At 44.4% G+C, this 27,516-nt stretch overlaps 1 protein-coding gene and 1 pseudogene across 4 annotated transcripts in view, besides 5 other annotated features; both read left to right on the forward strand.

Moving 5' to 3' along the window:
- Positions 9,647 to 9,716: an enhancer, noted in NCBI's record as "active region_15921". NCBI's record gives its function as "activates an Ori minimal core promoter by ATAC-STARR-seq in GM12878 lymphoblastoid cells {active_cell/tissue: GM12878}" and the evidence as "EXISTENCE:reporter gene assay evidence [ECO:0000049][PMID:35858748]".
- Positions 10,027 to 10,096: an enhancer, noted in NCBI's record as "active region_15922". NCBI's record gives its function as "activates an Ori minimal core promoter by ATAC-STARR-seq in GM12878 lymphoblastoid cells {active_cell/tissue: GM12878}" and the evidence as "EXISTENCE:reporter gene assay evidence [ECO:0000049][PMID:35858748]".
- Positions 12,710 to 27,516, forward strand: part of SLC1A4 (solute carrier family 1 member 4) — a 35,387-nt gene continuing 20,580 nt past the window's right edge. For 2 of the 4 annotated variants that reach the window (NM_001348406.2, NM_001193493.2), the window contains exons 1-2: positions 12,710 to 12,851; positions 25,679 to 25,721. Coding sequence is in view for 1 of the 4 variants with exons in the window: in NM_003038.5 (NP_003029.2) it covers positions 13,875 to 14,401; positions 25,679 to 25,721 (570 nt within the window). In the remaining 3 variants the exon portion in view is untranslated. Of the gene's footprint in view, positions 12,852 to 13,629; positions 14,402 to 25,678; positions 25,722 to 27,516 lie in introns of those variants that run through there. The other 2 variants (NM_001348407.2, NM_003038.5) reach the window with 2 other exon arrangements.
- Positions 12,940 to 13,639: a silencer, noted in NCBI's record as "silent region_11570". NCBI's record gives its function as "represses an Ori minimal core promoter by ATAC-STARR-seq in GM12878 lymphoblastoid cells {active_cell/tissue: GM12878}" and the evidence as "EXISTENCE:reporter gene assay evidence [ECO:0000049][PMID:35858748]".
- Positions 13,632 to 14,216: an enhancer, noted in NCBI's record as "H3K4me1 hESC enhancer chr2:65216535-65217119 (GRCh37/hg19 assembly coordinates)". NCBI's record gives its function as "activates a minimal SCP1, AML or CMV promoter by ChIP-STARR-seq in naive H9 embryonic stem cells {active_cell/tissue: H9 hESC(naive)}" and the evidence as "EXISTENCE:reporter gene assay evidence [ECO:0000049][PMID:30033119]".
- Positions 13,850 to 14,029: a silencer, noted in NCBI's record as "silent region_11571". NCBI's record gives its function as "represses an Ori minimal core promoter by ATAC-STARR-seq in GM12878 lymphoblastoid cells {active_cell/tissue: GM12878}" and the evidence as "EXISTENCE:reporter gene assay evidence [ECO:0000049][PMID:35858748]".
- On the forward strand, positions 18,977 to 19,091 carry RNU6-548P (RNA, U6 small nuclear 548, pseudogene; annotated as a pseudogene).

Below are 27,516 nucleotides of genomic sequence, written 5' to 3' on the forward strand. Positions count from 1 at the left end.
TTGATCTGAAAAATTCACCAGAAAATGCCTAACCTTCTCCCATGACACAGCAAGGTTTTGCTTGGATTCTTCCTTGCATTATTCAAACATATAGTGAACAAGAATTCAAATTCTTTTTCCTTAGATGGAAGTAGAACTTGGAGTGTGTTTTTTCTTTATTCTGACACATTAACTAGTCAAAGTAACTGAACTAAACCACACACAACAATAACAAATTTTGTTACATAATTATTGTTTCAGTTAACGTTCATGAAGCATTTTATAATGTATCGGGAACCGTGCTAATTATTTTGTGCACATCATTCATTTGATGCTCAGCAACACTATGATGTTGTTACCCCCATTTTATAGAGTATAAAGTGAGGCACAGAAAGATTAAGTAACTTTCCCAAGATCACAAGGCTCCTAAGTGACAAAAAAGAAATATACACACGTCAGACTTCCCACTTCATACTGCAGAGCCGTTCGAAAAACTGCCATGCCATACTGCTATACCATTCAAATAAACCTGTACATCAGACTGATGCACCATTCAACAAACCACTACTCCATTCTGCTGCACCATTCAACAAACTATGCCATACCACTAAGCCACTCAGAAAACCCCTATATCATACTGCTGTACCATTCATTCAGCAAACCTCTACACCATACTGCTACATCATTCAAGAAAACACTAAACCATACTGCTATGCCAGTCACACTACTCCATACTGCTGTCTCATTCAGCAAACCACTACTCTATACTGCTACACCATTCAAAAAACAACTGCACCACTGCTACACTGTTCAACAAACTTCTGTATCATACAGCAGTATCTACAATGCTCCCAGCAACTTGCAAGGTGCTGAGGATAGCAGGGTAAATGAAACAGGATCCGGGCAAAAAGGATCTCACTGTTGGTTCAGTTATCCCCAGAAGGGCCAGGGATCCGGAAGTTCCCACACAACCATGAGCACACTCAGGGGTGTGGGAGAGTTGGCTGTCTAGAGGAGTCCTCAAGTCAGGATAAAGAACTTCAGCATGTGCTAACTTTGAGACCAAAGGAAATGGCACAGAACACGATGACAATCCAAAATAACCAGTGATATTTAAAGTGTCTAGTAATTAGTTTGGTTCCAGCCAATCAGAAAAGACATCCATCCACCAGGATGAAGAACCAGACAATCTTTCAGTGACAGCTGTGGACAACTGGGAGGGGCTGAACATTAGTCCTGAGGCAGCCCCCAGAGATGGAGCAGTAAGTGCCCGAGGGGCCTGTATCACCACAGGGTTACCTAGGTGCCTTCCCCATCCCATCATAAGGAGGATGGTTGGGTGGGTTTTCAGCATCCATGGAGTGCTATTGTGTATGGAGAATGCTAGATGTTACTGTTTTCATTAATATCAAATTAGCTTATAAACTTATAAACCTCATCCCTCCCTCCCTCCCTCCCTTCCTTCCTTTCTTTTTACCCCTCCCTTCCCCTCCTCTCCTCACCTCCCCTCCCCTCTCCTACACCCTCCCCTCCTCTCCCCTCCCCTTCCCTCTCCTTCTGACATGGTCTCACTCTGCCACCCAGACTGTAGTGCAGTGGCTTGATCGTTGTTCACTGCAGCCTCAAACTCCTGGGCTTAAGCCATCTTCCCACTGCACTCTAGCCTGGGTGACAGAGCGAAACTCTGTCTCAAAAATAAATCAATAAATATATATAATAAAATAAAATAAACAAAACAACCCAAAAACAAAGAGCTCTTGTTCCTTTTAGTAGAAAATAGAGATTGAAATCTAACTGCTATTGAGATCCATATCAGATTCTGCCCTATGAGTACAGGTAGAGGCAACATCACTACTGCACCACTTTGTTGACAAAGAAATGTGTATTTTTAAGAGGTTTCATTGGTCAGTGTCCAGTCAGGAAAACGGAAACCACACTAGGAATTTCCAACAGAAGAGATATGATATAGGTAATTGATTACAATGGTGTTAGGTATCTGGGGAAAAAAGCAAAAAGAGAATGCTGAGGCAAACCAGAGATTAATAACCGAAGGGAGAAGCTACCACCTCTAGGACTGGGGAGCGAAAGGGAAGAGGTGGTGTTACTAGAAACCAGGACTTCAGAGGGCTGAGGCTCGGACACCTCCCCACACATCTGGTGCTCAGTCTTCCAACGAAGGGTGAAGCTCGGTGTGACCTTGGGCTCCTGAGGAAGGAGTGTGTATAGATTGTTTTGTTTATCCATTCATCTGTCAGCAGACACCTGGGTTGCCTCTACTTTTTGGCTATTGTGGCTAATGCTGCTACGAACATGTGTGTACATTTCTCTTCTCTTTTATAATCTTTATGCAGCTTTTTGACCCCCATTCTACAGGAGTAGTTCTACGCCATGGGAGACCTAGCACCTTCTTTCATCCTAAAATGAAGTACTTAAGTAAAACAGCCTACCAACCACATAATTTCAAGAAAATCAATATAATAAAATTTGTTTCATTGTCAGTGCCCAGGAATGATCATGCAGGGCAATTTAACAAAAGAGCCAGGCCAGGAGCAGTGGCTGACGCTTGTAATCCCATCACTTTGGGAGGCTGAGGCAGGTGGATCACCTGAGGTCAGGAGTTCAAGACCAGCTTGACCAACATGGTGAAGCCCCATCTCTACTAAAAAAAAAATACAAAAAGTAGCTGGGCGTGGTGGTGAGTGCCTGTAATCCCAGCTACTTGGGAGGCTGAGGCAGGAGAATTGCTTGAACCAGGGAGGCAGACGTTGCAGTGAGCCAAGATTGTGCCAGTGCCCTCCAGCCTGGGCGACTGAGCGACTGATCGTGCTCCAGCCTGAGCGAGACTCTGTCTCAAAAAACAAACAAACAAATAAACAAAAAAGAGCCAGATGCTCCACATTGCATGTGGTGGCCACAGTCACAAATGCAGACTGTCCAGGCAGCACTGCATTGGTGACTCATACACCACAAGTAGTGATACTTACTGGCATGATTTCCTAAAATAGGTAACCAACACTTAATAAAGTTTCAAGCAAAGCACTCTTTTTTCAATATGCACAGCAATTGCAATCTTAGAAATTCAGTGCATATTCATATTAAGCAAGAAATATTTGATGTTTCTATATAAAACAGAATCAGATTATTGGCTCAGATAATTTTCAACAGATTATTTTCCTTGAGGATTTCATACAGGATATTGGAAACCCATGAAGGACAGATTTGCTGTGCAGGATGGTCCAGTGCATTGCAGGACATCTAACATCCCTGGCCTTCAAACATTATGACAGCTAAGAGACTCCTCCAGACACTTCCAAAATGTCCTTTAGGAGGCAGTACTGCTCATATTAAGAAATTTCTACAGTAAGTAGTCTCTGCCTGTATCAGTTGTCTTCCCATAATAATGCAGTGCAACTGTGGCAGCCATGAGAAAGACCTTGCAGACTAATTAGTCTAATTCACCAATTGGTGTGCTCTGAAACCCACTGCCATGTTTGTGTCAAAGCCATGCCTCCCACAGGCTGCTCCCAGCCAATGGCTGAATGCGGTGGGGATTCTGCTGTTCCTAGGAGGCTCAAGACTCCTCTGACAGCTGGCTTTCACTTGAGGTTCCCCAATAGCTTTGCTACACCTTCCTGAGATTGCAGGACAGTCTAGGACATTTCCATTCAACCTTCCTTCCCTCTTTCCTTCACCCGGGATCAGACTTGCATTGCCTTCTGACAGCATTCCTAGCTCACAGCTCCCTCTCTATTTTCTCTTACATAAGAAAGTCCCTAATAAAATCCCTTGTACATTTTATTCTATCTTCTTTTTTTTTCTTTCTTTCTTTTTTTTTTTTTTTTTTTGTAGAGATAAGGTCTCCCTGTGTTGTCCAGGCTGATCTCGAACTCCTGAGCTCAAGCGATCCTCCAGCCTCAGCCTATCAAAGTGCTGAAATTATAGGCAGGCATGAACCACTGCACCCAGCTGGCATCTGCTTCTTGGAGAACTTGGACCAATACAGCTAAAAAAAAAAAAATGAAACCTCTGGGGCATTCAGCAATAAGTGTTTCTTTCTCATGTTTCAGGAGGTGGGGTAAGGGGCAGGAACTAGACAGCTCTCCTGATCTTGGCTGGGTTTGCTGCCATATCTGCAGGCTGACTGGTTGGTCGTTGGTCTGGAATGACCTCTACTATGATAGCTGGAGGACTCAGTCATGCTCCAGGTGACTCTCATCCTCCATCAGGCTAGTCCAGGCATGGTCTTATGGCAATGGCACAGGCACAAGAGAAAAGCTCAACATGTAAGCCCATTTCAAGTCTCTGCTTGTCTCAGGTCAGCCATACCCACTGGCCAAAGGGAAGCACATGATTGAGCCCAGATTCAGAATTGAAGGGCCCTGAAAAGCAACATGACAAAGGGTCAGGACACAGGGAGAGGTTAAAAATGGGACTATTTTCATAATCTATCACAATATCCATGCATTTGTCTTACAAGTGAAGCACTCTTCTTTCTCAATTTTTAAAAAATTGTAACTGTCCTTACAACTTTCTATAATCACATCATTGTAGAGTCACTTGATAGAGAGGAAGTCTAAAACACTGTGTATTTACCAAACGACTCAGAATTATTCACATGAGGCTCTCTAAGCAGGAAAAGACTTCCTCTATATTCACTAGAGGGTTAAAGTCATTTTCTCTTCCATGCAATGACCCAGGGCCATGACTGCTCATGACAAAGATTAGATCAGTTACAGGTAGCAAAGGATCTAAATTTTCTTTGTACATTCAAATGATTTATTGTATTTCCAAACTCCTTCCACACAAATGTACAGAAGTTAAGACATTATTATTTTTTAAATGAATTTGAGTGAATTCAAAGTTATCCCTGTGATAACATCCTTTACTTGCAGGCCAACATTCTTCCTTAAGTGGAAAGAAAATCTGTTGTGTTACAGGCCGGTAGCCAGGAATTACCTCTAAACCTAGGTCCACCTATGGCTGTAGGCACTGTGTGTAAACATCATTTGTCATGTGTGCCCTTGGAGAAAACGAATGGCGAACCACAGTTCTGGGCCCCTGTGACGTCTCACTGCTCCGAGCTTCTGTGATACTTACCTTTCTACTAAAATTGCACAACTCTGCTGTGGAACAAAATCAAATGTGGAGTCTTTTGCTCTATCATTATTCTTTCCTGTAAAAACAATGTTTTGTAATTTTGAAAATTTTGGGCCGGGAGCGGTGGCTCATGCCCGTAATCCCAGCAGCACTTTGGGAGGCCGAGACGGGCGGATCACCTGAGTTCAGGAGTTCGAAACCAGCCTGACCAACATGGTAAAATCCTGTCTCTACTAAAAATACAAGAATTAGCCAGGTGTGGTGGTACGTGCCTGTAGTCCCAGCTACTCCGGAGGCTGAGGCAGGAGAATAGCTTGAACCCAGGAAGTGGAGGTTGTGGTGAGCTGAGATCGCACTACTGCACTCTAGCCTGGGTGACAGAGTGAGACTCCATCTCAAAGAATAATAATAAATAATAATAATAATAATTTTGAAAACATTTAAATCTACTTAAAAGTTTCAAGAACAGAACAACACCCATATATCCTCATCCAGTTTTACCAGGTATTAACATCTTACCTCCCCCACTGCATCATTCTCTTTATATTTGTATACAATTCCTGTTTGCCAAGCCACCCAAAAATTGTGTGCAGACGCCATGACACTTCATCCCTAAATATTCCTTCATGGTCTGTCAAGAACGAGGCTATTGTCTTAATATCCAGAACACCATTGTCACCCCTTAAAAGAACTCAACATGAAGTTCAACATATAGTCCACACAAGATTTTCCTTAATTCCCTCAATATTGTACTTTTCTTTTCATCTAGATTCCATTGCATTTTGTTGTTATATCTCATTAATTTATTAACTGGAAGAATAAAATATATGTAGATGTTTGGGTCCTATCCCAGAGCTACAGAAACAAAATTTCCAGGGTAGAGCCCTGGAATCTGGCCTTTTCAAATTCTTTCTAGGTGACTCTGATGAAAGTTAACCCTGAGCTCTGAGCTCTACTTGTAAGACGAGTTACCTTTTTCAGGAGTCCATATCTTTTTTCCCAAATAGACTTTAGTCCACTCCAGTGAATTCTTACACCAAGCACAATAAATTCTTGTGAGAACTATAACTCATACTAACTGATACCCATTTCTTCTCCACCCTATCCAATCCCCCTCTCCTCTAATTCCACCAGCTTCTCACCTTATAGCATTGCACTTAGTTGGAAGGACTTGATTGGCAGGCTTTAAAGGCCTAACTCTAGATCTTATTTTGTTCTTTAATGCCGAACTCTGTTAATTCAATGCCCTTATAAATTATTCTTAATTGAATAATATGGTGGGGGAGGGATTGGCTTGTTGAAATGCAGGTTCCAAGGCCCTGCTCCAGGCTCAGGAATATGCATTTTATCAGCTGCTCTAGTAATTCTTACTCCCCAGTTTTGTATTCATTCTATGAGCCGTGCAGAGTGATTTATTCTTAGTGGGAAACTACATAAACATCTCATTGTGTTGTTGAATTAAATCCCTAGCCTTAGAACTGCCACCCACAAAACCCAGACACCAACCTAACTGGTGTTCCCATCTTCTAACTTGTCTTCTTCGGTGCTCTTATTTCACCAGACCCTTCTACAAAGAAAATGTCAGTTATTATGTCTTTAGCTAGTCTCTAAAACCATGGAGACAGACACTTTACTTCAGTTTCATTCTGACTTTTACTCCCATTCTGACCAAATTCCTTTTTTACTATTGACTCAAATTGTTTATCTGAGTCTGCACCTGACCTTTTGGTTCTAGGGGCATTTCTATGGCCCCTTTTTTCTCTTTTTTTCTTTTTGGTTTGTAGGGATGATACTGAGGGGAGCCTAGAAAAAGGATTACTGATTACAAAGTCATCAGTACTTTGATGCCAGTATGCCACTGTACACTAAGTTATTCACCACAGGAGAAAAAGAATTCATTTATTACTTTAGATTTTGTCTTTGCTTGCTCTGTTTGCTAAGTAGTCAGATCTATTTGGAGAGCAAATAATCTTTTTTTAAAAAAAAAATCACATCGTACTTCCTACAAAGTTGTGTTTTGCTGATATGGAAAGAACTAAACTGGCATTTAACCTTTTTAATATAATTGTTACTTCAACTATCTGGTATCTCTTAGGAAAAGTAAAAAGTACTCCAAAATCCAAATTTGCCTGTGATGAAGGACAAAATTTTCTTTTTTCAGTCCATTCATGGCAGAAAAATAACTCCTGCTCCATGATTTTGGTGATGTTCCTGGTGAATCTAGTGAAATAATGTGAAAAATATGTAAAGGTCATCAGATGTGAAGATAGAGCTGAGACAACCTCTTTGCTAGCAGAAGCCGGCGTGTGAGTACAATACACTATTCATGGATACATAAGTATATTGGGAGTGGCAGTCACTTTGACAAGAAAGGAATAAAACTATTGTTATCACTCTGTAAGTAAAAAATCTATAGCCATTCTTTAATGAGGGAAACTGAGTCTCCTTCATGATGGATGATGCAGTCCTGGTTTTAAGAACATGACTAAATCATGACAAAATAACTTTCTTTTATTTTATAAAAAATTGTATGTATTTATGGTGTAAAACATGATGTTTTGATATATGTATACATTGTGGAATGCCTAAACTATTTAACATACACATTTCTGCAAATACTTATTTTTTGTGGTAAGAACTCTTTAAAACTACTCTCTTAGCAACTTGCAAGTATACAATATATTGTTATTATCTACAGTCACCATCATGTACAATAGATCTCTTGAACTTATTCCTCCTATCTAATTGAAATTTTGTTTCCTTTGACCAACATATCTCCAATCCCCCCAATCACCAGCCTCTAGTAACTACCTTTCTACTTTCTGTATCAGTGAGTTCTACTTTTGTATAATAAATTCCACATATAAATGAGATCATATGGTTTCTCTTTCTGTGCCTACCTTAACAAAATATCCTTCAGATTGATCCATGTGGTTGCAAATGACAGGATTTCCTTCTTTTTAAAGGCTGAATAGTATTCCATTGTGTTTATGTACCACATTCTCTTTATCCATTCATCCTTTGATAGACAGGTTGTTTCCATATCTCAACTACTGTGAATAGTGCAGCAATGAACATGGGAGTGCAGATATCTCTTCAACATACTGATTTCATATCCTTTGGATATACATCCAGGGATTGCTGTTTTCATTGCTAATTTTTTGAGGAACTTCCATACTGTTGTCCATAATGGCTATACTAATTTACATTCCCACCAACAGTGTGCAAGTGTTCTCCTTTCTCCACATCCTCTATAACATTTGTTATCTTTCTTCTTTTTGTTAATGGCCACTCTGATACCTGTCAGGTGATATCTCATTGTGGTTTTAATTTGCATTTCCCTGATAATTAGTGATGTTGAACATTTTTTATAGACTTATTGGCCATTTGTATGCCTTCTTTTGAGATATGTCTATTCAAGTCCTTTGCCCATTTTTTAATCGGGTTATTTGTTTTCTTTCTGTTGAATTGTTTGAGTTCCTTATATATTTTGGATATTAACCGCTTATCAGATGTCTGGTTTGCAAATATACTCTCCCACTCTGTAGGTTGTCTCTTCCTTCTGTTGATTGTTTCCTTTGCTCTGCAGAGCTTTTTAGTGTGACATAATCCCATTTGTCTGTTTCCCCTTTTGTTGCCTGTGCTTTGGGGTCATATTTTTAAAATATCATTTCCCATACCAATGCCATGATGCTTTTCTCATATTTCTCATATTTTCTTCTAGTAGTTTAACAGTTTCAGGTCTTAAATTTAAGTTTTTAATCCATTTTGAGTTGATTTTCGTATATGGTGTGAGATGAGGGTTTAATTGCATTCTTCTGCATATGGATATCCAGTTTTCCCAGCACCATTTATTGAGAGACTGTCCAAAGCAAATTTCTAGTAGAGTTGTCTAAAGAAACACCAGAGCTAGGGCAAGTAGTGACTTATGTGTGCTGCGCTGGCCCACAAAACACGAGTATTTAAGCAGTAATGTTACTGTGGATTGAAGATGGCTGCAAATTCTTGATTATTCCCACCATGGAGTGATGGGATCTAATTCTCCTCCTTTGAATTTGGGCTGGCCTTAATGATTTGCTTGACTGACAGAATGAGAAAGAAGTAATGTTCTGGGACTTCTGAGGTTAGGTCAGAAGAAGTCTTGCAGCTTCTACCTACATTTCTTAAGACACTCACTTTGGGGGAAATCAATCACTACATAAGAGATTTGACTTCACCAAGATTGCCATACTGTGAGGAAACCCAAGCTAGCCACACTGAGAGAGCAACAGATGCCCAGCTAGCCCCAGCAGATCCAAACCCACTAGCCAAGGTGCCAGTCGTGTGAATGAAAGAGGCATCTTGGACATTCCAGACTCAATAGATGCAATGTGGGAAAGAAACGAGGATCCTAATAGATAGCCAGAACCTAGGCCTCAGGCAAAGGACCCCAAGTGAGCTGTCCTAGCCATCTCTAGCCATTAAGCCACCCCAGCTTGGGGTTTCAGTCATTGTGAAACAGAAATGAGACCTCCTGTTATGCCCTGTCTGAATTTCTGGCCTATAAAATCATGAGCATAAAAAAATTGGTGGTTGTTTTATGCCACTCCTTTTTGAGATGGTTGTTGTTTTATGCCAGCGTGGTTTAGGCTGGTTTGTTATGCAGCAACAGATAACTGGAACAGATGCTGAAGTGAGCATTTGTATTACTCAGTTATTGCTACAATAACGCAGTATAACACATGACTCCGGAACTCAGTGGGTTTCAATAAGCATTTATTTTTCTCACGCATGGGTCTGTGGGTTGACTGGGGTGTTCTTCTTTAGGCTGTGAGGCAGCTGGGTTTGATCAGGGCTGCAGGCTAAATTCAGGCACACTCCTGTCTTTGTTCTGGTGCCAGGCTGAAAGGGCAGCATCTACCCAAGGCATGCTGGGTCACACGTATGCAGGAGTCCACATGCGATTGTGTGAAAACATTTTGATGCCTCCGCTTGCATCACATCCACTTAGTCCACTAGCCAAGGAGCTAAATGGCAAAGCTCAAAGGCAATGGGGAAGGTAAACTCCTATCTAAGTGGAAGAAACAAGGGAATAAATTTTGGCTGAACAATACTTTAGCCTATCACGGGATCAGATGACAGTAGCGGTAATGCTGTCAGGCTGGATCACTTGTAAGGCGTTGCTATAATTCAGTACTTACGCATCCAGAAATCAGGGAAAACACATATAAGTACTGTGGGGGAAGGTGTCTAACACAGGAATCAACTTTTTTTTTGCACAAAATACCTACAAACAGGAGGCATGTAAAATTATCAAAAGACCAAAAAATGCAAAAGGAGAGGAAGAAAGAGGGAAAAAGGTGGCAGAAAGTGAACCCTTTCATAGAGAGATATAGTAATACCACCAAATGTCACGGAGGCCAGAAGAGGACACCTATTTCTTGGTTTGCCTCACAAGTAGGCAGAATGGCTACAGGGCAGCCCTCTGGAGATAAAAGGCCCCAAGAGACCCTTTCGCTAATTCAATGACAGATATATGTGGCATAGTATAAGGCACCCCCAAACAGTGCTCTCACACTCAGCACCACACGATGTCTAGTAGTTCAGGGAGTTCCCCACTCCCAATTGAGGGTTGACTGACTGTTATTGCAGCTTTGGAGTGCACAGGTACAGCATAAAAAGCTGCAAGCAGCAAGCAGAGTTGGTGCAAAGAGGATTCAGAAAGGCTATGGGAGGAATGTGGTATCTGAACTGGGACTGGATGGAGAGGCAAAACAATGTGGAAGGAGCACACAGCGCCATTTTTGCAGGAGGCATAGAGGGCACATGGCTAGAGAGCAGGCTGAGGCCAGATCATGGTAGGTCTCGAATGCCAGGATGAGGAACACATTCTTAATTCACTGGGAGCCACTGAAAGCTTTTGAACAAGAAGTGATATGAAGGAGTTGTCCTCCAATATCATTTTTCTGTGTTTCCTTAGTAACAGAAACTCCAATTTTTTAACTGGGTGGATGCCTGTGTAAAACAAAAATTACATTCCCTAACGTTTCTTGCAGAAAAGAATGGTCATTTGACTAAATTCTTATCGATGAAATATAAGAGAAATAATGTGTATGACTTTTAGGAAGTGTTTTTAAAGAGAGATGCCATGCCCTCATTGCTCTTTCTTTTCTGCTGGGTGAAAGCTGAACTTTATCCTAACATGTATATTACTCATTAGGAAGATTAGCCTGGGGCAAGGCAAAATACAGGATGGTTGGAACAAGAGGAGCATTGGAGGTGGGAAGACTAATTGGGAGAACATTTCAATAGCCCAGATAAGAAGTGAGGAAATAAGAACTGAGCCAGTGTGGTAGCAGTGGGAATAGATGGGATGGGCAGATGTGATAAATATTGTGAAAGGAATCTCTGTGGGACTTGGCAATTCATTAGATGAGAGAAGGCACCACAGAGGGAAGAATCAAAGTTCGCTTTGAAGTTTCACACAGAGGTGACTGGGTCATCAATTATGTTTTAACCGAAGGGATGAGCAGGTTTGAGGAAGGCAACCATGAGTTTGGTTTTGAACATTTTAGTTGGGACGCCTGCAGGATATTCAGGTGAAGATGTAAAACAGGCAGCCGAAGACTCATTTCTGGAGCATGATTTGAGAGTCTTTTGCATAAACGTGGTAGTCAAAACAAAGGGAAGGGCTGATTGGCAAAACACAGTGTGTGTCTGTAGGAATTACTCTTTCTTCAGTGCACATAGAGAAATGAACTGCATTCTGGAAAGCCAGATATAAATATGTGCAGCTCTTCATCTGACACTACCTCCCCCGCCCACCCCCCCCCCCCCCACACACAATCCTTACAAGTTCTAGCCAATAGCTGGCTGGCTCCAAGCAATAAAATACTCACTGTCTCAAAATTTGGACAGCTCCTTAAAGTTCCTTATGAAGGCATTTTGATTTGCACAAATATGTCATGACATGTTTTAAGATGACTCCTTTATAGCAAGAAATCTATAGTAAATTGCCTTCCTCCTTAATTGAGGTTAGCCACAATTAAGTCTTCCCTTGCCTGGCACAGTGGGTGGTGCCAGCTACCAAGGAGGATCCCATAAGCCCAGGAACTGGGAGACCAGCCTGGGCAACATAGCGAGACCTTGTCCCAGAAAGAGAGGAAAGAAAGGAAAGAAAGGGAAAGAAGGAAAGAAGGAAGGAAGGGAGGGAGGGAGGGAGGGGGGGAGGAAGGAAGGAAGGAAGGAAGGAAGGAAGGAAGGAAGGAAGGAAGGAAAAAGAAAAAACAAAAGACCACCCACGGAAGTCTTTAAAGAACAATTCACAAGCAGAATAAAAAAATATAAAAATATAATAACTGTGATACAGTAAAAAGACTCAGCAGAAGTTTCCCTTGTAACTCGCGTGGCCAAAGCAGATATCAAATAAAAGATGAAATAAACAGGAAATCCATAGAACGTGAACAATAAGGAACCGTTCAGGATGGCCAAACCGCCGTCTGCGCTGTTTTCTCGCCAGGGCTCAGGCCTGGGAACGGAAGAGGTTAAAATCCAGTGGCTTGTGTTTCAGCTTTGGTTACGTGGCAGAAACCAACTGGAAGTGGTGGCGTGAGAGCTCTGTTTCTTCTAGAAGAGCTTTGCGTCTTAAACGCCCATACCGCAGACAGCTGCCTGGCGGGCGACCCAGCCCCATCCTGATGGCCCCAGGACACAAGCCCAGGAGCGCCCCGGTGCGCGCGGTTCCGCGGCCCAGGGGCGCCGGGTTTGGTGGCACAGCGAGCCCCCTTTCTCTAGCGGTATGGCTGCGTTAGAGCCCTAATGAGCGCGTGCGAAGGCTCCCCTTATTCATCCATCCTCCGGTCCGTCCTTTGTCTCAAGGCCGGGGCCTTGCTGGGCACCATGGCGTGCTTTACCGCACAAGCCCCTGAGGACCCCTGGAAGAAGGGATCTTCCGCAGGAGGGGACGCGACGGCAGGACCGCCCCGGGCCCCCTCACCGCGCCCGGCCCCCTGGCGGGAGAGGCCGGCGAGCTCTGGAGAGGAGCGCGGGCCGCGCGGGGCGAAAGCGCCACCCGGGAGAGAGGGATCCTCCCCTCTCCTCCTCTCTTCTCCCCTCCCCTCCCTCCCCTCCCACAGTCCTCAGGAGGAGGAACGCCGCTGCGTTCTAAGTTCTCCCGGGCCCTCTGGCCCCGAGGACTCAGATCCCGGCCGCGGGAGAGGGCCCGGCAGGTGCCAAGGAGCCCGGGCGGTCCTTCAGCCCGCACTTCCCCGCGGTCGCCCGGAGCCGGCCTCCGTTAGCCGGGCGGGTAGGCGGCTATTGGCGCCAGGATTGGCCGGCGCCGCCCGCGCCCCCGCGGCCTCGGGTGGAGCCTCCCGCCCGGCCGCCCCCTGCGGCACCCGCGACACGGGTGGGGACCAGAGGCTCCCGGCGGCGGCTCCCGGCGGCGGCTCCCGGGCTGTGATTGGCCAGCGCCACAGGGGGCGGGACGGCGGGCGTGAAGTGAGCGGGCTGGGGCCGCTGGCGCGCCCTCCTACTTCCCCGTCTGCGTCCGCGTTCGCGGCTCCCGTTTGCATCATCTCCAGCCGGCGGCTGCTCCAGGGAGGCTGGGCGCGATCCTCTCCGCCCGCGGCTCCAACCCGCACTCTGCGCCTCTCCTCGCCTTTCTCGCACCTGCTCCTGCGCCAGGCCCGGAGACCCCCGGGGCGGCTTCCCAGAACCTGCGGAGCACAACTGGCCGACCGACCCATTCATTGGGAACCCCGTCTTTTGCCAGAGCCCACGTCCCCTGCCACCTCTAGCTCGGAGCGGCGTGTAGCGCCATGGAGAAGAGCAACGAGACCAACGGCTACCTTGACAGCGCTCAGGCGGGGCCTGCGGCCGGGCCCGGAGCTCCGGGGACCGCGGCGGGACGCGCACGGCGTTGCGCGGGCTTCCTGCGGCGCCAAGCGCTGGTGCTGCTCACCGTGTCCGGGGTGCTGGCGGGCGCGGGCCTGGGCGCGGCGTTGCGCGGGCTCAGCCTGAGCCGCACGCAGGTCACCTACCTGGCCTTCCCCGGCGAGATGCTGCTCCGCATGCTGCGCATGATCATCCTGCCGCTGGTGGTCTGCAGCCTGGTGTCGGGCGCCGCCTCGCTCGATGCCAGCTGCCTCGGGCGTCTGGGCGGCATCGCTGTCGCCTACTTTGGCCTCACCACACTGAGTGCCTCGGCGCTCGCCGTGGCCTTGGCGTTCATCATCAAGCCAGGATCCGGTGCGCAGACCCTTCAGTCCAGCGACCTGGGGCTGGAGGACTCGGGGCCTCCTCCTGTCCCCAAAGAGACGGTGGACTCTTTCCTCGACCTGGCCAGGTAACACTCTCCACCTCTCCCAGGGCCCAGTGGGAGACGCCAGTTCTCGGATGCCCTCCAGTTCATACACCCATATGCTTATACACTCCTAAGAGTTAATTCTTAGCTGGCTGCTGGTGGCGTTTAACGTTTTAAAAATATCAAAATGACGTCTGGAGTTTTTGCGTGCTGACCACACCTTTGCAAACAGCTGGGGCGCACCGCACAATCGAAAGAGCAGGGCCGCATCTTTGAGCAAGAACCAGTCCCCACCGTTAGGTGGGCGTTTGTTAGGGAAGAGCCAGCCGCCCCGCCTGTTCTTTACTCCTTATACTCTCGCGCTGCTCTCCCCGGTAAAAATGTTCCGACCACGCCCCAGTGGCTTCGCCTCATTTTCTCCCACATGGTGCCTAAAAGCTTCTGGGAGCATTGGTTAAGTTTTGCCTCTTGGGTCATCCGGCTTGCAATCTATGGCCTTCTCTGTTACAGTCCTTGGCTGCGAAGGAAGCTGGCAATTTTCTGCAGTTATCAGTGGACCCACGGATAATAGGGCTGGGGTTAGTTGAGTGAGACATATTGCCCAGAAATATGCCTCTCCTGAGGGCTTGGGGCTTGGGACAGGTTGCTGTCCACCCCAGTAAAGACCACGGCAGAGTGCTGTGTTTCAAAGGCCTTTCTTTGTGCGAAAGTGTGAGTTCTAGAGGGGAGGGAGAGAAGCATCTTCACTTAGTTTTGCCTGCTTTTTGCAATTCTTAGAAGTTGCATTTCATCCTTTGAGATGATGTAGTATCCTTTCTGTGACTTATCCAAAACCTTGGTCTCTCCTGGTTTCTCCATTAGCCCAAAGTTCACAAATGGGGAAACTGCAGCCCGGAGGCATTTACTGATCTAACCAGGTTCAGTTGAGTGAGGAGTCCAGCTGGCTCCTTCTCCAGATTTCTGATGATTTTGGATTCTGAGCCTTGGAGTTATTAATATATTTTGTCTTGAGTTATTGAGGCAAAGCTCCTCATTGCTGAGGTTGTGAAAAACAGCAAACCCTGGGCAAAGTGACTTGCCTTTCCAACTGTTTCCATTTCTCCTTCTGGAAAATGTGATGGCTGTCTGCACTTAAGAGAGAGATTGTTCACTTAAAACAACAAAAATCTAGGACATCCGTATTTAAAAACAAACAAACAACAACAAAAAAAAACCACTCATGAGGGAGACCAAAAGTTCTTGCCAAAAGGGCAGATAGTGGTGGCCTATTAGGACTTTTAAGGGGATCACAGCTTTTTTTTTTTTTTTTTTTTTTTAAAGTCTGGGTCTTGCTCTTTTGCCCAGACTGGAGTGCAGTGTTGGGATCCTAGCTCACTGCATCCCCGAACTCCTAGGCTTCAGCGATCCTCCTGCCTCAGTCTCCAGAGTAGCTGAGATTACAGGTGCACACCACCACACCCAGCTTTTTGTTTGTTTGTTTGTTTGTTTTTTGAGACGGAGTCTCGCTCTGTCACCCAGGCTGGAGTGCAGTGTGCGATCTCGGCTCACTGCAAGCTCCGCCTCCTGGGTTCACGCCATTCTCCTGCCTCAGCCTCCCGAGTAGCTGGGATTACAGGCGCGTGCCACCACGCCCGGCTAATTTTTTGTATTTTTTAGTAGAGACGGGGTTTCACCATGTTAGCCAGGATGGTCTTGATCTCCTGACCTCGTGAGCCACCCGCCTCGGCCTCCCAAAGTGCTGGGATTACAGGTGTGAGCCACCCTGCCTGGCCCCAGCTAACTGTTTTAAATTTTTTTAGAGATGGGGTTTCACTATGCTGCCCAGGCTGGTCTAGATCACAGCCTTTGTTCTGTGACTGGCAGCTTGATATTTGGAGTCCAGACACTTTTTAAGTTTGGAAACTAACTTTTAGGTGAGTGCTGAAAAGAAGTCTCCTGAGGTTGAGAGCACCTTTAGCCTATTACCTGTAGGAGGTCGGTCAGCTCTCTCAGGGAGGAAAGGCAATAATGGGGTTAAAGGATTATTCTTTGCAGGGATCTGTGGCCCAGGGAGGGAGAATGGATGTTCAGCTCTGTCCTGCTATGGTCCCGCACCGGGAGCCTCAATAGGATCTTTTAACTCCAGAAGAGGGGGCAGTGGTGGTAGGGGGTACCTCATTACCTCCTGAAGGGACTTCTTGTTTCCTGATCATGGTTTTCTAGTTTTAGACCCAAGCCCCTTCACCTCCTGCTTCTGACATGGATGGTGACCCAGCGTCATAGCTTAGTAGTGTGGGTGCAACTTTTCAATGACTTGGGCTGCACCTGCATGGAGGGCTAAGAGAGGCTTTGTTGTGGCTTGCTGGGGATAGGTATTGCTTCATAATTCTTCCAACAGCCAACTTCATCTAATCCAGCAGCTCACGGATAAAGGTAGGGCAGGTGGTATATCCCATTTTATGACTGACAAAACTGAGACAGAGATTAAGCGATTTGCTCAAGGTCATGGAGTGGCTTATAAAGAAGAGATTAGAAGGACTGTGGGTCTCCTACCCCACAGTGCAGGGTTCTCTCTCTTTCTCCTAATCCCTCTTCCTCCAAGTCAACATGCCTTAGTAATGTCACCTGCCTAGTCTAGTGTGGCTATCTCAGAAATGCTTTCTCTGGGCCCAGAGAGGAACCAGGTAGGCATATGACTGGGTAAAGACAAATGCTCCTTTCCTCCAGCCAGCGTGGAGGCTGAGCTCCTCAAGTGAAGGAAAGTATGTGTGCACCGCTGAGGTTTGGTCTCAGGCTGAAGCAGCTTGTGAAAGGAAACTAAGTCCCAAGCCACCCGGAAATGCTTCCTGAGTCTGGAGAGTCTCTGACATCAAAATTAAAAAATTGCTTCCTTCAAGGAAACTTCACGGATGTGGATTTCATGTGACTCTGGGCATCTTCTTTGGAAAGGCAGTGCCCCATTCCTTTCTTCCTAGGGGCACGTGAATGAAATGAGACTCTGCCAGTAAACGCCTCAGTTATCCAGCAGGCCCTCTCGAGGTAGCTGCTCAGAACTTAAACACCTGGAAGAGTGGGAAAGGCCTCTGATGAGTCAGCATAGCTGCTGCTGAGGCTTTGTGCTAAAGTCCATGCCCTTTCCTGATGGTAAAGTGCCCCCAAATCCCCCAGGGTCTCTCTGTCATGATTTCTAATTTGGTTTTTAAAGCTGGAACTACAAGTCAGAAAGAGATGAAGCTAGTAGGTATTCATTACATGTGTATATGTTTTTTTAAAATTCAGAATGTCATTGCTGAGTGGTTTGATTTCCCAGCACACAATGGGTTAGAAATAACAATGTAGAATAGAGAATTGGGATGAGAAGGCTGGAGCTAGAAGCAATGAGAAGGGATGGCCAATAGTAGCTGGCAGGTGGAAGAATCATAGTCTCTTCCTGAGCAGCCCGGAGTTCTGTGCCTGGGAATCCAGAACAGTATAGGACTTTCAGAACCATGTGTGACCTAAGTGGTTGACTTGTGGGTTTTTATCCAAAATGAAATGGTTGGGCACCAAAGAGACAGAAACAGGTTATCAGGAAACTAGTCATTGTGGAACTTCTTGGTCCCTAACAATGCTTACTGGTTGTGGGACATGTCCATAACTTTTCCATTCCTTGGTTTCCTCATCTTTATTATGGGAATCATGATGGTACCCACCTCGCAGGATTGTTCTGAGGGTTAGCTGGGTTGTGTCTAAGAGCTCTAAAGCTCTTCTGGGTTCTAAAGCTGTTAGAACAGTGCTGGCCCAATACACCTGTGCTCTTGTTATAAATAGAGTGATTGGGTTTTCCAGTTCACCTGAGCTAATGGGGATGGCCCTCTTTCCGTAACCTGAAATAAATGAGGGTAGATGGGAAGAAGAGGAATGTTTAGGGGAACTCAAGATGACTTGAAGCTAATGTAGTCTCTAGGTGTATTGGGAACCACATGGCATCTGGAGGAGAAGTGAACAGTAACTGACTATGTTTTAGACTACTAATTAATAGAGTCACACTATGGAAAATTTGGAAAGGGAGAGAAGTCAAAACTAAACACAGAAGAGCCTTCCATTCTGAAATGGGACAGAAGTCCCCACAGATTCTCACTGACATTCCGGTTTCTTTTTCCCCTGCCTTACATGCTTATGATCTCCAGTTGACCTCCGCTATAAATTGAAGGGATTGAGGCAAATGGTTTCTAACATTCCTTTGGGCTCTAAAGTTTGTAGTTTTCAAATGGAGAACCAAGGTGTAACTGCCAAGGAGGCAGGTAGGGACAGAGCCTAGGCCCAGGGCTCTGGTCTGTGCTGGCAGCCAGAAGAATGGCCGAGGGCCACCATCTTGCAGTAGCATAGTAGGGTGTGGCCATGTATATGGTAAATACAATTAGGATTTTGTCTGTTGCCCAGTTTTCTAGGGTTTTTTTCACTGCTCGTGCTAATTTTCTTAATAGCAAACCATGCTCTGAGCCTTTCCCTTCACAGAGGGAGGTGTGCTGGACGTACCTCCTTCTCAAGGACTGGTGTGAATATGTATGATGCTTCTCAAGCTGCAAAGAACACATTACTTGAATAGGTGCAAAAAAAAAAAAACTATCAGAGACTGAGATTTAATATTAGCCCCCTGTGCTTGCCTTGGCAGCACATATACTAAAACTGGAACAATAGAGGAGACGAGCGTGGCCTCCGTGCAAGGATGACACACAACGTGATGTTCCAATGTGAAGCGTTCCATATTTTTTAAATTAAAATAAATAGTAATATTAGCCACCAGATGGCAAAGTTGAGGAGTGAGTTGTGAACAATTTCTTTACATTATTGACTGTGGCGGGTTGTTGTAACTATGCCCATGTCTCTTCTATAGGCAAGATGAAGACAGCACATCTAACAAGGATCCAAATTAATGGCATTGTCTCAGCCTAACTAGTGATGAAAGGAAAATAATAGCAGCTTGTAATTTTTTTTAAAAAAAGGTTCTCACTCTTGACCATTTCTTTTACCTCCCAGGAGGACACCTGAATAGTTTAGAGACAGAAAAAAGCATCAACCTAGGGAGGTGGGTAGTGATGAAGAGCAGACACTAAAGCCAACCACCTGGGTTTGAAGCCCAGCTCTATGACGTACTTGCTGTACGTGCACAAGTCGTTTGTCCTCTCTGTGCCTGAGTGTCCTTATCTGTAAAATGAGACTAGTGAGACCTACAACCTAGAATGGTTGTGAGGATTAAATGAGTTAATATATGAGTGCTTTGCCAATATTCTAGTGTGTCCCACCCTCTCAGGGACAGCTGAGGGCTATTTGATATGATGCATGAATGCTGCTCTTAACTTAATTTCCCCCAAAAGATCCCCACTCCAGGGGTTCAGCCTTACCCTTTCCAGCTGGAATCTAAAACTGGATGGAGGCCTTAAAGAGAGGATGGATTCACACCCCCATCATCAGAGTGCAAGTCCACCAGCCCCAGCCCTTCCTCAGCTCAGCCTTGTAGGGGGTACCAAGATCTGAAGGGTCACATCCCTGTTAACTGGCTCTGTTACAATAAATACTAGCGATAATAAATATTTATCAGGTGTACATACCATGCCATATCCTGTTCTGAAGAGTCTTTGAAATTTTAATAGATTTGGTAAAGAATTTTTGAACTTAAATAAAAGGAAATAATTCTGGAACAAAATATGCCCAAGCAAAAGTAAATTGTTTTACATTCTTTTCATATAGAACAGAGAAATGCATACCACCCTTGACAATAGGATCAGAAGAACAAACAGTATCAGATGTTACAGAACGTTTTTGAAGTTTTTCACTGTGTGAGCTGCATGGGTCTGCACAGCACCTCCCACAGTGGTTCTGCATTGGCCAGTTCAACCTCATTTCATACCAGTTTTTCTGTTTGTTTTAAGTAATGTATTCAAAGAGTCTTATAGCGCTGGAAAAGCTTGTTCATTCATTATCTCCTGGCTTGGACTGACTTGGGCCTCTAGATTTAGTAGTGTATCTTAGAGGTTTCACACGTTTTTAATTTTGACCTACCATAAAAAGTACATTTTACATTATGGCATCCACACTATACCCGCCCCCCAACTCCCACATACTCAAACCAAAACACAGGTTCCACCAAACAATATTTTAAGTGTGATATATACTGATATTTTTGTCTAATGTATTTCATCTTTTATAAAATACTGGTTAAAGCCAATACACTGATTTAATGGTCTACTGATATTTGAGAAACTTTGGCCTAATACATATGTAATTCAAGTAGATCTCTCAGGATCAAACAACAGAAAAAGGAAATATTTGCAAACTTGAATAAGATGAGGAGCTCAGTGCTTAGAAGCATCCTAACACCCAGTGAAAGTGGGTGATGTGCAGAGGCGAACACAGGATGACCATTTGGTCCTCCTGACTTCTGGACTCTGGATTTCAGTACTCTACATCTGGGCTGTCCAATACAATAGACACTAGCCACATGTAGCTATTTAAAATTACTTCAAATGTAAATAAAACTTAAAAATCAGTTCCTTGGTGGCACTAGCTACATTTCAAGTGCTCTATAGTCCAACATGGCAGCACAAATGCAGGCATTTCAGTTGGACAGTGCTGGCCTAGATGGAGCAGAAATGGGAGATGCTCAGTGACTGGGCATTGGTGTCTCTATGTGCTAAATGAGGGGATAGAACTGGATCACCTCTAAAATCCCTTCCAGCTCACTGTCTCTGATTTCAAAAGCCCATGAAGCTACTGTGTGAACATGAGGAGTTGGGAAAAATGCCTGAAGACAGAGCTCTGGGAAGCAAAACTGTTTGCCAGAGAGGCAGCTGATCCCGGATTAGAAGAGAGCTCAGGAGTAAGAACCAGAGTTTACCGCAGCATCTGTGTCTGAAAGCCAAAGGAGAGAGGGAAAGTAGAGGACAGAGAAACATGTTGCTTTATTCTGGCAGCCTCATCTCCTTGCCCTTGGTGACAGCAGGAGGGCACTGCTCCTGCTCTTGGTCTGTGGCAAGCAGAGGATGAAAGCAAAGGAGGATGCTTTCTATGGTGCTTCAGCTCACTGCCACCAGGAGAGCCCTTCCCAGAGATTGTTATCTGAGAAATGAGCTGTATAATCTAAAAAAAAGTTCAGCCCTCCCATTGAATGTACGTATTTTTTAGTTGGAAAATCTCTAACAGTTATTACCATACTTTTTTATATAAGTTTTTAAACAATTTCAAGGTAGGATTTATATACAATAAATGCACCCACTTTAAAGGTCCAGTTCAATGAGTTCTGACAAATGGATAACTCATGTGACCACCACCACAATCAAGATACTGAACTTTTCCATCACCTATGACTCTTCTCAGCAATCCCCATTCTCCACCCCTGGCCTCAGGCAGCTGACCTGCTTTTTATCACTATAAATTAGTTTGGCTTTTTCTAGAGTTTCATATCAACAGAATCATTCAGTATGCACTCTCCTTTGTCAGTCTTGTTTTGCTCAGCACAGTGTTGCTGAGATTATCCATGTTGTTGCGTATATCACTTGGCTCCTTTTTATTGCCAAGTGGTATTCCGTTGTATGGAGTTTTCATAATCTTTGTATCCCTTCATCTGTTGATGGACATTTGGGTTTTGGACTATTATGAATAACGCTGTTATGCATACAGTTCCTTTTTGCAGGCATATATTTTTATATTTCTTGGGTAAATATCTAGGAGTGGGCCGGGCGTGGTGGCTCATGCCTGTAATCCTAGCACTTTGGGAGGCCAAGGTGGGCAGATCACTTGAGGTCAGGAGTTTGAGACCAGCCTGGCCAACATGGTGAAACCCTGTCTGCATTAAAAATACAAATTGGCAGGCGCAGTGGCTCACGCCTGTAATCCTAGCACTTTGGGAGGCTGAGGGGGGCAGATCACGAGGTCAGGAGATTGAGATCATCCTGGCTAACATGGTGAAACCCCGTCTCTACTAAAAATACAAAAACAAAATTAGCCAGGTGTGGTGGCGGGCGCCTGTAGTCCCAGCTACTCGGGAGACTGAGGCAGGACAATGGTGTGAACCTCGGAGGCGGAGCTTTCAGTGAGCCGAGATCACGCCACTGCCCTCCAGCCTGGGAGACAGAGCGAGACTCCGTCTCAGAAAAATAAATAAATAAATAAATAAATAAATAAATTAGCCGGGCGTGGTGGTGCACACCTGTAGTCCCAACTATTCGGGAAGCTGAGGCAGGAGAATCTTTTGAACCCAGAGGCGGAGGCTGCAGTGAGCCGAGATCTGCCACTGCACTCCAGCCTGGGCAACAAAGTGAGACTCTGTCTCCAAAAAAAAAAAAAAAAATCTAGGAATGGAATTGGTGAGTCCTATGGTAAGTGTATGTTTAACTTTATCAGAAACTGTCAAAACACATCACATTTTTCTTAGGAACTTGATTTTTGGGGGGCAGAAGTTGCTCTTTTGCTTCTGGACCCCTCTGTTCCCATTGGATTTTGCAGACTAGATATTGTAGACAGTCTGAAAACAGGTCGGTGTGCCAGTGGCTGTTAGGTGTAGAAGTTCTGGGTTAAGGACAGGGCCTGTTCTGGGTGAGATGTTACTGGGTTATTGCTTGTATGAAAAGATTGGGCAGGACAGATAGACAGAATTAAACAAATAGTGTTGTGCTCTTTAGAAGAGAATGCATTCAAGGCTGTGGGAAAGGCTGTGCTTGTACCAATTGAGGAAACAGCTAATCCCTGAAGGATGTGAGGTATTTGCCGGGGGAAATTGTTTCCCATGAGGAAAGTGGAGGTCTTCTAACCCAACTCTTTTCTGAACTTCCCGGTCCTCATGGAAAGAGAAACTTAGAGCAGCTCAGTCTGTCAACAACTGAGGATTGTTGTGTGGTGGATACAGAACAGAGAGACTTTGGCACAGGGCCCCTTGCTGCTTCTGACTAGGGCAGAAAATGGAAATGAAATGCCAAAGGTAGTCCCCAAGACTAAAATATGTAAGAAAGTTGCTTTGTAATGGAAATAATAACAAATGTAAGTTGTTATTCATCTATACTCCGAAAACTAGCCAATATAAGTTGCTAGTCTGTTTCTACTTTTTAAAAAGTAAATATAGCTGTGATAAGAATCAAACTTCTGGTCACAGTTTTGCAACAATTTAATTCAGCTAAAGATTAATTTTTTCTGCTTAAATGCAGACATGTACTCTGGTATTCTCTAAATATGCTAAAAGCAACTCAGGTTCTATGGACAAGTTTGGGAAATGCTGTGTTGCAGGCTGTGTATGCTGGCCGTCCTGTGAGAGCACCCTAAGTGTTCTAATGCATTGATTTTTGCATCTTATTAACTTTGTTGGCTGATACATTGCTGCATAACAAACTACTACACATTTAACAGCTTAAACAGCTTAAAATCTCACATATTTACTATCCTACAGTCTCTCTGGGGTCAGGAATCTTGGGACAGTTTAGTTAGGTCCTCTGCTTCAGAGTCTCTTACAAGGCTGCAATCGGAGGTGTTGGTCAGGGCTAGGTTCTTACCCACAGGTCCACCTGGGGAGAGATTCACCTCTGAGGTCATGTTGTTGTTGGCAGAATTCAGTTCCTTGAAGTTTGGACTGGGAGCCTCAGTTGGCTCTTGGCTGGAGACCACCTGCAGTTTCTAGTCTCGTGGGCCTTTCTAACATAGCAGCTTGCTTCATCAAAGTATGCAAGCAGAAGACAATAAGAAGAGTCAGCTAGCACAATGGAAGCTACAACCTTATGTAACCAAATCGTGGATGTGACATCCCATCACCTTTGCTGCATTTGTTCATTAGAAGCAAGTCATAGGTCCACCCAGACTAAAGGGATTACCCAAAGGTGTGAATACCAGGAGGCCATCTTAGACTCTGCCTGCCACAGCTGGGTTGCAGCCAGACCTGCCTACCTCTGAAACCCAATGCACTGCAAATAGTTGCCTGGAGATCCTGGTGAGCAACCCAGCTTCTTACAGAAGTAAGAATTAGTGGATAAGTTTGACACAAATTGTTAAGAATGATCCAGAGTCTTTTGCTCTTCTAGACTTACTCTTCTTGCAGGAAGTGAGAACAAATGGACTGTCAGCTGGAATAGAATTTCTTGTATATCAAGACCAGCATCCTACACAGAGCCCTCAGTAAAACTATTTGCATGAACAGATTTTGGGCTCCATCAGCTCGATTGCCCTACTTTTATAACAAATGTTTATAATATCCTTAATTCTAAGATGAAATCCATAAATAAAATGTCCCTGCCCACATAATTTCAAAATATCAATATGATGTAACTGTAATATACAAAAGGAAAATAATTATAACAAAAACAATGTGTCTCAATATATACATGCTCTAAAATAAAGTGGTTGAATGCTTACTCCTGAACTCAGAATCACTGCTAATGAAATAGTTATAAATGCAGACTGTTACTTGACACTGGGTGTGGAATTAGGGACTCAGATTCTACAATTTGCACTGGTGGTGTGATTTTCCAGGAAGACAAATAATATTTGGAAACATTCTGAACAAAGCAAAACAAAAACCACCCCATAATTTACAAGGAGTTACACTTCTGGAAAATTCAGCGTATGTTCAAATTGTGAAAAACAGAACCTTGTTTTGGAATTAGTTTAGTCTTGAGTAATTATAGATAAGGTTTTTATCTACACGTATGTCATGCAAGACATTGGAGGGCCTTGAGATAATTCATTATACAGGACTCTACTGCATTTAACAGGACAAATGTGTGGGACCTGGCATTTCTCCCTACACACTCCCCCCAATTGGGGAATGCCTCAATTTTGCAACAACAAAAACGCCCTTGGATTTCACTAGTGAGCAGTGACACTTGACATTGCAAACCACTGCAATGGTGCCTAACCTCTAGGTGAGAGGAAAGCAATGCAGTTATAGACTTGGTTGGACACCATTAAGTTCAGATATCAAGGAGTACCATGAGAGAGATGGAAATGAAAATCAGTGGCTTCAAAGTATCTACTGTGGCCCAGCAGCGCAGGCACAGTTAGGGTGCTTAAATCAAGCAAAAGGTGCAGTGTCAGCTAGGGGTGGAGAGAGAACACTGTGTTAGGGTTTTAGAAGTGGACATCTCAAAGCAGATACTTTGCACACTGAATTTTAAGAATACTGATGAAGACAGGTACCATGGCTCACGCCTGTAGTCCCAACACTTTGGGAGGCTGAGGCAGGAGGATCACTTGAGCCCAAAAGTTCAAGGCTGCAGTGAGCTGCAATCACACCACTGCACTCCAGCCTGGGCAACAGGGACCTCATCTCTAAAAAATTGTTTTAAAAGAATACTGACAGAATGCTTTCTTTTCCAACAGAAACCTGTTTCCCTCCAATCTTGTGGTTGCAGCTTTCCGTACGGTAAGGCTTGATACTTTGCTAAAAATATGAAACTTTGATGGAAGAAATGTACCAATTACTGCTATAGAGTTAGGTAAGGTAGAACAGGGAGAGATGGTGGTGTTAACAAAACTTGGTAAGATTGGCCTAAACTTTTATCAATGGGTACCTAGAGTTAAAAAACAACAACAATAAAATAAATAAATAAAGACTGAACAAACAAAACTTTCCAAAATGTCCCACTGGTTCCAAAATTTGTTTACATTACCTAAGAAATACCCTCAAATCACATTTTGGGGATGTCTTAAATATTGTACACTTTTTTAAAAAAATACACTTTTATCTTTTTTTCTGACTATAAAGATAATATGTGCTCACTGCAAAAAAATAAAATAAAATACAAAGAAGTGTCAGAAAACAAAAATCATCCATAGTCACTGTCTAGAGCTACCCATTATTTTGGTATACCTCTTTCAGATATGTTTTTTCTATGCGTGTATACACATACATTTTAAAAATAAGCATACAGGCTGGGCGCAGTGGCTCATGCCTGTTATCCCAGCACTTTGGGAGGCCAAGGTGGGTGGATCACTTGAGGTCAGGAGTTCAAGACCAGCCTGGCCAACACGGTGAAACCCCGTCTCCATTAAAGATACAAAAATTAGCCAGGTGTGGTGGCGTGCACCTGTAACCCCAGCCACCCAGGAAGCTGAGGCTGGAGAATTGCTCGAACCTGGGAGTTGGAGGTTGCAGAGAGCCGAGATCACACCACTGTACTCCAGCCTGGGCAGCAGAGTGAGACTCTATCTCAAAATAAATAAATAAATAAATAAATAATAAAATAAAGATAAGCATACATAGTATGGACACACACTACACATGTTGCTTCATAGCCTGCTGTTTTTTTTTAAGGCAGTATATTGTGAATATTTTCTCATGTCGGTAGCTACCCTTCTGCATAACGCCACGGCTGTAGAGTATTCCATTGTAAGAGTATAACATAATTCTCCTCTACTAGTCCCCTACCGATGGATGTTCAGGTTGTTTCTGGTTTTCCCCTATTTTTTGGCAATGCTGCAAGTAACAGTCCTGTGACCATTCTTTTTTTTTTTTTTTTTTTTTTTTTGAGACAGAGTCTCACTCTGTTGCCCAGGCTGGAGTGCAGTGGCGCGATCTTGGCTCACTGCCAGCTCCGCCTCCCAGGTTCACGCCATTCTCCTGCCTCAGCCTTCCAAGTAGCTGGGACTACAGGCGCCTGCCACCACACCCAGCTAATTTTTGTATTTTTAGTAGAGATGGGGTTTCACCGTGTTAGCCAGGATGGTCTCGATCTCCTGACCTTGTGATCCGCCCGCCTCGGCCTCCCAAAGTGCTGGGATTACAGGCGTGAGCCACTGTGCCTGGTCTCCTATGACCATTCTTTACACAGAGAAGGAATATAAAGGCCTAGATTATATGGTCTAATCTGATTGCTTTTTACAATGAAAGACTTTTCTGTTTCTACTTAAACCTCTCATTTTTGTTTTGTTTTGTTTTTTGATCTGCATATAAGCACAGGAGTGACTTGTATATATAATGTGAGGTAGGAAAAAAATATAGGTATATGGGGCTTTTTTTAGTGCCTGTCACAGAGGAGGCGGGTGGGTTTGTTTGAACACCTCTGCCTTTCTGTAACACTGATAAAGCTGAGAGAAACCAGAGCCCAGCAAGGGCAGGCAGAAAGCAGGCCTTCAAGTCTATACTTCCTAATTGCCTCCTCCTGACAGTTCAAGGACCAGGTGCCCTTCGAAGGGGCCAGGAAGGACTGTACTAACAG

The sequence above is a fragment of the Homo sapiens genome, chromosome 2, assembly GCF_000001405.40.
Source record: "Homo sapiens chromosome 2, GRCh38.p14 Primary Assembly".
In the NCBI taxonomy this organism is placed as follows: Eukaryota; Metazoa; Chordata; class Mammalia; order Primates; family Hominidae; genus Homo; species Homo sapiens.